Below are 12,495 nucleotides of genomic sequence, written 5' to 3'. Positions count from 1 at the left end.
ATCAAAGAACAAAAGCAGGGATTTATTGAAAATGAAAGTACACCCAACAGTGTGGGAGCGGAGCGGGCCGAGCAGTGGCTCAGGGGCCCAGACATAGAATCTTCTTGGGTCCAAATACACCCTAGAAGTTTCCCATTGGCCACTTCATGCTCACCTCATGTAAATGAAGTGGTAGCCTGAAATCAGTCTGATTGGTTGCATAAAGCAGCCAACCAGAGGCTGAAGTGAAGTTAGGAAGGTCACACTCCTTTGCAAACATCTGATTGGTTGTAAAAAGTGAAGACTCCACCCACAGTCTGTCTGATTGGTTGTGCAGCCAATTTCCCATCTGCCATGCAGAAAAAGTGGAGGGCTTGCAAAGGGAGTAGCCTCTGGCCTTTTGTGACTTAGGCGTGGAAAGTTAGGGTTTTCCTTGCAATTTAGTTCTAGGAAGTTGGCGTGAAGCAGCCTTAGGTTCCCTGCCTCCAGATCCTAGTCTCCTGCCTCACTATCTCACTGCCTACTCAAGCCAGGCCCAACTGTTTGATTTTCTTGGTACAGTTTCTTGTTGCTGTTTGAAAGCAAATGTGGTTGAGAGGATGAGGTACAAAATCGCTCTATGATATGTTGCTGCTGTCGGAAGTTTCTAGGCTGTCATCATATGAGATGATGTGTGCAGAAGCACATTAGAGAAGGAAATGCACCAATAAAATGTCATCATTTTATTATCTGAAGCAGCTGTTAGGGAATACACTATCCTTTTTGAACATTATTTTCAACACAGGCAGCCACTTGGAAAAATGTATTCGTTGATCTGGACAAAGATCTGTGGAGAGACCATGAAGGGCCCGAGGCCAATACTTCACTCACCCCTACAGAGGGGGAACTCCAAGCACCTGTTGCTCTAGAAATGGATATGATGTTTCAGTTTTTGAAAGTGACAGAGCAGATTATGTGACTCATGTGAAATTTCCTTTTTAGGAAGCCTTAGTAAATACCTATTGAAAGAGAAAGTGAATAATTTGAAAGATGCAGTTGATTTGCTTAGGAATATTTCACAATTATTATAACATAAATAGAGGTTGTTTATTTTAAAAATATATAATTTAATGTGTTTTTTGTTTATCATAAAGCATTCTACCTATAAAATTCAGAAAAAAACTTTAAAATATATGATAATATTAGAAATTTTTATAATTTCAAAGAGAATCATTATTAACATTTGCCCCAATATACATCCCTTTTCTCCTTTTAATACAAAATGTACATATACAATTAATCCTTGAACAATTGCTGGGGTTAGAGATACTAACTCCCCTTGTAGTAAAAAATCTGCATATTTTTTCTAGTTCCCCAAAACTTAAACACTAACAGCATCCTGCTGACTGGAAGCCTTACCGATAACATAAACAGCTGATTAACATATATTTTGTGTGCTATATGCATTACATAATGTATTGTTACAACAAAGTAAGTTATATAAAAGAAAATGTTATTAAGAAAATCATAAGGAGGAGAAAAACATGTCTACCATTCATTATGTTGCAGTGCATCCTAAGGTCTTCATCCTTATCCTTACTTTGAATAGGAGCAGGAAGAGGTAGGGGTTGGTCTTGCTGTTTCCAGGGTAGCAGAGGTGGAAGAAAATCCATAGATAAGAGGCTTGAGGTAGGAGGCAGGGCTTGACTCCGGAGGTGGTGGCTTGTCTCTGGGACAGACTGAAGACTAGTTGAAGCAGGGAAGAGGTGAAAGCACCTCTTCATAAGAGCACCTCACCACCAGCACCATGTCAGTTTACCATTACCATGGCTGCACCTGAAAATTACCACCCCTTTCCATGGCAATGACCCAGAAATACCAACCTTTTTCTAAAAAAAAAAAAAAAAAAATTGAATAACCTATCTCTTAATTTGCATATTGAACATATTATGTTAAAAAAAGAAAAAAGGAAAATGGGAAAAGGCCCCTTACGTACCAGCCTTTATGAACCTTTACTGACTCACATTACTTCCAGGCACTGGGAAGCCACACCTAAGGGATCTGCTCCTAGATGTTCTCCCAAGAAGTCCTATCCCTCCCTAGAGTCTCCTCATTCCCTCAATTCTGAGGGGATCCTGCCAGTTATCTAAAAAAGGATTCCACCCCAAGGTCCTCTCTGTTATCCAAGTAGCCCCAGCCTATATCTACCACTGCCCAAGAAAGTAAGCCCAACCAATACCACCAAGAGTGGGGCCACATATTAGTTCGTAAAGTCAAATCTATGTCCATTGCAGGAGGTAGATGATGGAAATAAAGAAACACTTAGAATACAAGTGCCATTTGCTATGTGTGATTTGGCTTTAGATAGGGAAAAATTTGACCAGTTTTCAGAGAACCCAGAAAAATTTATAGAAGAGTTTGTTAAGTTGACTATGTTCTTTAACTTGCCATGACTTACAAGTATTGTCATCTGCTTGCTATGCTGTGGAAAAAAAGTGGAGAAAAAATTATATGGTTAAGCCAGTCAATTATGACAAGGTTAGAGAAATAACTGAGGGAAAAAACAAAAATCCCGCTCTAGTTTAGGGCTGCTTAGTTGCAGGAAATATACTAATGCAGACCAAGACTCCCCAGAAGGGCAAGCTCTCCTGAGTGATTATATATATATGAGAGTTACCTGAGTGGTATATATTTTATTACTCAGTCTGCCCCTGAAATTAGAAGGAGACTACAAAAAGCAGCAATGGGACTTCAAATCTCTATGAGCCAACGTTTAAACTTGGCTTTTAAAGTTGATAACAATGGGAACTTGGCAAAAGAGATAAAAATAAAACAAAATAAATAACCCTAAAGTGTAATTTTTAACAGTTTCTTTAAGCCTCCTACCCCTCAGGGTTACTCATCTTGAGAAAGTGTTGTGAGATCAGCATCTGGGATGCCCAGAGAAGAGCCCTGGGTCAGAATCAGTGTGCCTACTATAAGCAAAAAGGCCATTGGCAATGAGAATGTCCTATATCTCCCCAGTGAGAGAAGAAAAAGCTTTCCATCAATACCAGAGCTAGGCTTCCTCCAGTAGCCCCAACCAACCACCTGGCTTAAGCAAATTTGGACCCTTGACCCAATGGACAGCTTCCTGCAGTGACAGACAAGCAGCTGCCTGAACATTTTTCTTCAGTGTCTCCACAGCTGGGTGAGCTCTCCAGTAGCTCAGGGACTCCCTTTGAACAATGCAGTTCACTCCCTCCCTTCCATTTGTAGTGCTATGGGATCTCCTTCCCTGTGCCACCTCCTGTCTTCCATACTTATTAGGACAAACAAAATTTGTCCAGGTAGATGGGTCCCCCTTTTATAAATAGCTTGAATCAGTTGCCTTATATAGGCCATTTTATTTAATTTGTTTTTTAAGATATAAATACAGATAGTGTGATGTGTATTGTGTTTAGCATGCTATCAAACTGACTTACAAATAAAACAGCACTCATAAACTAAATAAGTCTAAACTTGTTAATTAAAAAAAAATTTCTATCCCCAGTTTGCACCCTCTTCTTGGTGACATGTTTGATATATTTTCACAGCCAGCCCACATTGGGCCCTCCTATTGATCTTGGAAGGGCAAAGAGCCAAATGTGACATTTTTTATAAATCATTGGCTAAACACAATTAGATGGGAATGTGCAGTAAATAAGAAATCACATCAGGTCACTTCCAAGATGGCCCAATAGGAACAGCTCCGGTCTGCAGCTCCCAGAGAGATCGACACAGAAGACAGATGATTTCTGCATTTCCAACTGAGATACCTGGTTAATCTCACTGGGGCTGGTTGGACAGTGGGTGCAGCCCATGGAGGGAGAGCTGAAGCAGGGCAGGGCATTGCCTCACCCGGGAAATGCAAGGAATTGGGGGATTTACCTTTCCTAGCCAAGGGAAGCCGTGACATACTGTACCTGGAAAAACAGTACACTCTCGCCCAAATACTGCACTTTCCCCACAGTCTTAGCAACCGGCAGACCAGGAGATTACCTCCCATGCCTGGCTTGGTGGGTCCCATGCCCACGGAGCCTTACTCACTGCTAGCGCAGCAGTCTGAGATCAACCTGCGAGGTTGCATCCTGGCTGGGGAAGGGGAGTCCACCATTGCTGAGGCTTGAGTAGGTAAACAAAGCTCAAACTGGGTGGAGCCCACCGCAGCTCAGCAAGGCCTACTGCCTCTATAGACTCCACCTCTAGGGCAGGGCATAGCTGAACAAAAGGCAGCAGACAACTTCTGCAGACTTAAATGTCCCCATCTGGCAGCTCTGAAGAGAGCAGTGGTTCTTTCTCCCATCATGACATTCGAGCTCTGAGAATGGACAGACTGCCTCCTCAAGTGGGTCCCTGACCCCCTTGTAGCCTGGCTGGGAGACATCTCCCAGTAGGGGACCACAGACACCTCATACAGGCAGGTGCACCTCTGGGACGAAACTTCCAGAGGAAGGATCAGGCAGCAATATTTGCTGTTCTGCAATATTTGCTGTTCTGCAGCCTCTGCTGGTGATATCCAGGCAAACAGAGTCTGGAGTGGACCTCCAGCACACTCCAACAGACCTGCAGCTGAGCGGCCTGACTGTTAGAAGGAAAACTAACAAACAGAAAGGAATAGCGTCAACATCAACAAAAAGGACATTCACACCAGAACCCCATCTGTAGGTCACCAACATCAAAGACCAAAGGTAGATAAAACCACAGAGATGGGGAGAAACCAGAGCAGAAAAGCTGAAAATTCCAAAAACCAGAGTTTCTCTTCTCCTCCAAAGGATCGCAGCTCCTCGCCAGCAATGGAATAAAACTGGACAGAGAATGAGTTTGACGAGTTGACAGAAGTAGGCTCCAGAAGGTCAGTAATAACAAACTTCTCCAAGCTAAAGGAGCATATTCTAACCCATTGCAAGGAAGCCAAAAATCTTGAAAAAAGGTTAGATGAATGGCTAACTAGAATAAACAGTGTAGAGGAGAACTTAAATGACCTGATGGAGCTGAAAACCACAGTACAAGAACTTTGTGATGTATGCACAAGCTTCAATAGCCAATTCAGTCAAGTGGAAGGAAGGATATCAGTGATTGAAGATCAAATTAATGAAATAAAGCAAGAAGACAAGATTAGAGAATAAAGAGTAAAAAGAAATGGACAAAGCCTCCAAGAAATATGGGACCATGTGAAAAGAACAAATCTATGTTGGATTGGTGTACCCGAAAGTGACAGGGATAATGGAACCAAGTTAGAAAACACTCTTTAGGATATTATACAGGAGAACTTTCCCAACCTAGCAAGGCAGACCAATATTCAAATTCAGGAAATACTGAGAACACTACAAAGATACTCCTCGAGAAGAGCAACCCCAAGACACATAATTCTCAGATTCACCAAGGTTGAAATGAAGGAAAAAATGTTAAGGGCAGCCAGAGAGAAAGGTTGGGTTACTCACAAAGGGAAGACCATCAGACTAATAGCAGATCTGTTGGCAGAAACCCTACAAGCCAGAAGAGAGTGGGGCCAAAATATACGTTCTTAAAGAAAAGAATTTTCAACCCAGAATTTCATATCCAGCCAAACTAAGATTTATAAGTGAAGGAGAAATAAAATCCTTTATAGACAAGTAAATGCTGAGAGGTTTTGTCACCACCAGACCTGCCTTACAAGAGCTCCTGAAGGAAGCACTAAACATGGAAAGGAACAACCGGTACCATCCACTGCAAAAACATGCCAAATTGTAACGACCATCAATGCTAGGAAGAATCTGCATCAATTAATGGGTAAAATAACCAGCTAAAGTCATAATGACAGGATCAAATTCACACATAACAATATTAACCTTAAATGTAAATAGGCTAAATGCCCCAATTAAAAGACACGGAATGGCAAATTGGATAAAGAGACAAGACCCATCAGTGTGCTGTATTCAGGAGACCCATCTCAAGTGCAGAGATACACAAAGGCTCAAAATAAAGGGATGGAGGAAGATCTACCAAGCAAATGGAAAGCAAAAGAAAGCAGGGGTTGCAATTCTAGTCTCTGATAAGACAGACTTTAAATCAACAAAGATCAAAAGAGACAAGGCTATTACATAATGGTAAAGTGATCAATTCAACAAGAAGAGCTAACGTGAATATATATGCATCTAATACAGGAGCACCCAGATTCATAAAGCAAGTTCTTAGAGACCCACAAAGAGACTTAGACTCCCACACAATAATAATGGGAGATTTTAACACCCCACTGTCAATATTAGATGGATCAACAAGACAGAATGTTAACAAGGATATCAAGGACTTGAACTCAGCTCTGCACCAAGTGGACCTAATAGACATCTACAGAACTCTACACCCCAAATCAACAGAATATACATCCTTCTCAGCACTACATCACACTTATTTTAAAATTGACCACATAATTGGAAGAAAAGCATTCCTCAGCAAATGTAAAAGAACAGAAATCAAAACAAACTGTCTCTCAGACCACAGTGTAATCAAATTAGAACTCAGGATTAAGAAACTCACTCAAAACCGCACAACTACATGGAAAGTGAACAACCTGCTCCTGAATGACTACTGGCTAAATAATGAAATAAAGGCAGAAATAAAGATGTTCTTTGAAACCAATGAGAACAAAGACACAGCATACCAGAATCTCTGGGACACATTTAAAGAAGTGTGTAGCGGTAAATTTATAGCACTAAATGCCCACAAGAGAAAGCAAGAAAGATCTAAAATCAACATCCTAACATCACAATTAAAAGAACTAGAGAAGCAAGAGCAAACAAATTAAAAAGCTAGTGTAAGACTAGAAATAACTAAGGTTGGAGCAGAACTGAAGGTGATAGAGACACAAAAAACTCTTCAAAAAATCAATGAATCCAGGAACTGCCTTTTTGAAAAGATCAATAAAGTAGACCGCTAGCAAGACTAATAAATTAGAAAAGAGAGAAGAATCAAATAGATGCAATAAAAAATGATAAAGGGGATATCATCACCAATCCCACAGAAATACAAACTACCATCAGAGAATACTATAAACACCTCTACACAAATAAACTAGAAAATCTAGAAGAAATGGATAAATTCCTGGACACATACACCCTCCCAAGACTAAACCAAGAAGAAGTTGAATCTCTGAATAGACCAATAACAGGTTCTGAAATTGAGGCAATAATTAATAGCCTACCCAATAGACCACTAACAGGTTCTGAAATTGAGGCAATAATTAATAGCCTACCAACCAAAAATAGTCCAGGACCAGATGGATTCACAGCTGAATTCTACCAGAGGCACAAAGAGGAGCTGGTACCTTTCTGAACCTATTCCAATCAATAGAAAAAGAGGGAATCCTCCCTAACTCATTTTATGAGGCTAGCATCATCCTGATACCAAAGCCTGGCAGAGACACACACACAAAAAAAGAGAATTTTAGACCAATATCCCCGATGAACATCGATGTGAAAATCCTCAATAAAATACAGGCAAACTGAATCCAGCAGCACATCAAAAAGCTTATTCACTACGATCAATTTGGCTTCATCCCTGGGATGCAAAGCTGGTTCAACATACCCAAGTCAATAAATGTAATCTATCACATAAACAGAACCAACAACAAAAACCATATGATTAGCTCAATAGATGCAGAAAAGGCCTTTGACAAAATTCAACAGCTCTTCATGCTAAAAACTCTCAATAAACTAGGTATTGATGGAACAGATCTCAAAATAATAAGAGCTATTTATGACAAACTCATGGCCAATGTCATACTGAAAGGGCAAAAACTGGAAGCATTCCCTTGGAAAACTGGCACAAGACAAGGATGCCCTCTCTCACCACTCCTATTCAACATAGTGTTGGAAGTTCTGGCCAGGGCAATCAGGGAAGAGAAAGAAATAAACAGTATTCAATTAGGAAAAGAGGAAGTCAAATTGTCCCTGTTTGCAGATGACATGATTGTATATTTAGAAAACCCCATATTCTTAGCCCAAAATCTCCTTCAGCTGATAAGCAACTTCAGCAAAGTCTCTGGATACAAAATCAATGTGCAAAAATCACAAGTATTCCTATACACCAAGAACAGACAGAGAGCCAAATCATGAGTGAACTCCCATTCACAATTGCTACAAAGAGAATGAAATACCAAGGAATCCAGCTTACAAGGGATGTGAAGGACCTCTTCAAGTAGAACTACAAACCACTGCTCAATGAAATAAAAGAAGACACAAACAAATGGAAGAACATTCCATGCTCATGGATAGGAAGAATCAATATCTTGAAAATGACCATACTACCCAAAGTAATTTATAGATTCAATGCCATTCCCATCAAGCTACCAATGACTTTCTTCACAGAAATGGAAAAAAATACTTTAAAGTTCATATGGAACCAAAAAAGAGCCTGCATAACCAAATCTTAAGCAAAAAGAACAAAGCTGGAGGCATCACGCTGCCTGACTTCAAACTATACTACAATGCTGCAGTAAACAAAACAGCATGGTACTGGTACCACAACAGAGATATAGACCAATGGAACAGAACACAGCCCTCAAAAATAATACCACACATCTACAACCATCTGATCATTGTAAACCTGACAGAAACAAGAAATGGGGAAACGATTCTCTATTTAATAAATGGTGCTGGGAAAACTGGCTAATCATATGTAGAAAGCTGAAACTGGACCCCTTCCTCATACCTTATACAAAAATTAACTCAAGATGGATTAAAGACTTAAATGTAAGACCTAAAACCATCAAAATCCTAGCAGAATACCTAGGCAATACCATTCAGGACATAGGCATGGGCAAAGACTTCATGACTAAAACACCAAAAGCAATTGCAACAAAAGCCAAAATTGACAAATGGGATCTAATTAAACTAAAGAGCTTCTGCACAGCAAAAGAAACTACCATCAGAATGAACAGGCAACCTGTGAAATAGGAGAAAATTTTTGCAATCTACCCATCTGACAAAGGGCTATTATCCAGAATCTACAAAGAAGTTAAACAAATATGCAAGAAAAGAACAAACAACCCCATCAAAAAGTGGGCAAAGGATATGAACAGACACTTCTCAAAAGAAGACATTTACACAGCCAATAGACACATGAAAAAATGCTCATCATCCCTGGTCATCAGAGAAATGTAAATCCAAAGCACAATGAGATACAATCTCATGCCAGTTAGGATGGTGATCATTAAAAAGTCAGGAAGCAACAGATGCTGGAGAGGATGTGGAGAAATAGGAATGCTTTTACACTGTTAGTGGGAGTGTAAATCAGTCCAACCATTGTGGAAGACAGTGTGGCGATTCCTCAAGGATCTAGAACTAGAAATACCATTTGACCCGGTGATCCCATTACTGTGTGTATACCCAAAGGACTATAAATCATGCTACTATAAAGTTACATGCACACATATGTTTATTACAGCACTATTCACAATAGCAAATACTTGGAACCAACCCAAATGTCCATCAATGATAGACTGGATTAAGAAAATGTGGCACATATACACCATGGCATACTATGCAGCCATAAAAAAGAATGAGTTCATGTTCTTTGCAGGGACATGGATGAAGCTGGAAACCATCTTTCTCAGCAAACTGTCACAAGGACAGAAAACCAAACACCACATGTTCTCACTCATAGGTGGGAATTGAACAATGAGAATACATAGACACAGGTAGGGGAACATCACACACTGGGGCCTGTCGTGGGGTGGGCTGTAGGGGAGTGGATTGCATTGGGAGAAATGCCTAGTGTAAATGATGAGTTGATGGGTGAAGCAAATCAACATGGCACATGTATACCTATGTAACAAACCTGCACATTGTGCACCTGTACCCTAGAACTTAAAGAATAATAATAATTAAAAAAATTGTGTCTTCTAAAATTTAACTTTAAGAGTTTTACCTTGGTAAATCATTGATGTTCATAGGCTTTGAATTTGTTAATATGGCTTTAAATACTGAGTTTTTTGCATAGTTGAGAATCTTGAAATTATAGAATAGTTCTCATCTATAGAATGGCAATGTCTGATGGGCAGTTCAAGATTTATTGCTTTCTAGGTTTCTATAAAATGTGCCAAAGAAGATGTATTTTATTGAGGAAAAATAATTTTTATCTAACTTGGAAGTTTCTTAAAGGGAGATTCATAATATGAGGAAACCAGTGAGTAGAAAACAGATGTGAAGAAAGTTATGGATAGATGTATTTTTTTAAAAAAAGAAGTGTATAAAGAGTAATATTGTATGAGAAAAATCTTATATAGTAAATTTTTGTCCTAGAGTAAAATGACTGGTTATTTAAGAAAGTGGTAGTATAGGACAAGTCAGAAAGTTCAAGCCATGTCTGTGTAAATTGTGATTAGGTTCATGAAGGGGAATTTATGGAAGGAATTTTGTGTATGATTAAGCTTGCTATGAATAAAGGAAAATTGTTTGTGGTAGGTTTTCTAGAAAATGGTCTACATATTGGAACAAGGTTTTCTTGAGCCATTGATTTCCTAAATTATGGGAAATTTTGCTTTTAATGCTATTACAAGTTTCTTTTAAAACTTACTGGATTTGTGTCTCAGAGATTCAACTGTTATTGTATCTTGCTGCTTTCAGTTCTTTCTCCCTTTAAGAAAGCCTAGGATGATGTCTATCTCCTTTAGCTTTTAAAATCAGCTCCTGTGACTTCTTCCTCTGGTTCAGATTGTTGTCGTAGCCTGATGCTCATGTTTTTGTCTTAGAGGTCTATAGGAGCAGTGTTTCCCCCCAGTGGAGTTTGATTTTATGCTCTTGGGTTTTTGTTTTTGTTAAATGTGTAACCTTAATTTTGGCTTTTTGACTCTTATATTGCCTAGGAGGGTTTTAAGAAATAAGAAATGTCAGCCTGCCTCCATTCCCATCTATCCTAGAATGTTTGATTAGCTATAAGTCTTTTGACTCTAAGTCCCTTGGCCAAAGGAAATTCCAAAGACATCTTTAAAAAAAAAACAAAAACAAAAACTAATTGAAGCCATGATGGGAAATGGGGTTGGACACATCTCACTATACCCTTTAAAATTTAGGCTAGGTATACAAGGTCCTTCAAGAATACAGATATAAAGTATTGCCTCCAACCAGAAGACTTAGTCTGACTAAAAACTTAAAAAGAAGGATCCCTCAATAATCAATTACAACCAAAATAAAATCTAAGAACCAGGTTTAATCTTTGACAGGTACCTATCAGGTATTGTTAAATATACCCACCACTATTAAACATCAGGCAATAGCTACTTGAGTCCATCTATTAAGGATTAAATCTGTTTCTTATGAGTCACAGGTACAAAGAGGTGACAGATTGACCTACGTTAGTAAACTTTTGGAAGACTTCTTCTACCTATTTAAAATAATCAGCACTCAGTCAGAAATGGTAATGTAATACTGTGGGTGGGAATAAGGGCTTTATTTTTTCCTTTTCTTCCTGATTGTAGTACTTCTTTTCTATTGCTTTGGCCAACCACCTCCCCCTGAGAAACACCTCTTTAGTTCTTGTTGGGTGTAGAGGCCGCTCTAAGACCCAACTGGACACCATTTTGCCACTGTTAATCCTGTTTCCACTTCTAATTTCCCTGATCCAGTGTGGGTGAGAACAAAACTCTATAGTAAATATTTCAAAAATTATAGCATCAGGAAATTATCTTCATGGTTGCCAGATTTGTAATCAACATCTCCAGGGCAGAGAGTTTCATCTTCTGGCCCATTCAGAAAATCTCACGGCCATCTCCCCAGACCTCCTAACTAATCATAGCGATCCGAAGATATCCAAACTCCTACTCGTTAGATGAAACTCTCCCCAGCTTAACGGATTCCACCAGAACCCTCCTGCCATTGTTACCCGGACCTGGGAAGTTGGTTACCTATAGCTCCAGTGCACTAATGATTCCATCTTTCACACCCACTGCTGTGTTGAGACAAAAGTGGAAGTTTCCCTGCAATGCTATGATCCAACTCTAGTCGCCAGGTTCCCAAGGCTGCAGCAAGGTAAATGGGATTCCACTCATAAGCAAGGAGGATATATATGATGCCTTTTCTCAGATCAGAACATACAGAGAAAAAAACAACAGCCTAATCGGGGAAGGTAGGAATACCACCCCCTTCTGGAAAACAAAGATGGTTCTACCACACCCACTGGAACAGGGAAGAAATATTTCTATAGACCTAACTTGGTAGCAAAGTGTAAACATCACACCCTGCAGGGCTTCTCTGTTTGTGCCTCAAATGGGCTTATTTTTGTTTTTGGCCCTGAGTGGGGAAAAGTCACACCCCTAAACCACACCCACCTTCCTGGGGAGTCATCTATTCTTTTAGGAGCAGCTTTCTTTTGTATATCAAAAACTTGGTACAGGGGTCGATGTACATTGGCCACCATTGCCCTTTCAGGGGTCACAGTCTATAATCGTGTAAGACCGAGGAATGCCAGAAGTAAGTGAGCAATAGGATTAATTCAGGTGGGAAATGGGGCAGCAATAGGACTAGTGGCACCCTGGAGTGGCTT

General features: G+C 39.7%; 1 annotated feature.

Moving 5' to 3' along the window:
• Positions 570–619: an enhancer, noted in NCBI's record as "active region_19615". NCBI's record gives its function as "activates an Ori minimal core promoter by ATAC-STARR-seq in GM12878 lymphoblastoid cells {active_cell/tissue: GM12878}" and the evidence as "EXISTENCE:reporter gene assay evidence [ECO:0000049][PMID:35858748]".

Source organism: Homo sapiens, chromosome 3 (genome assembly GCF_000001405.40).
Source record: "Homo sapiens chromosome 3, GRCh38.p14 Primary Assembly".
Taxonomy (NCBI): Eukaryota; Metazoa; Chordata; class Mammalia; order Primates; family Hominidae; genus Homo; species Homo sapiens.
This window is presented reverse-complemented; position numbering and strand designations above follow the sequence as displayed.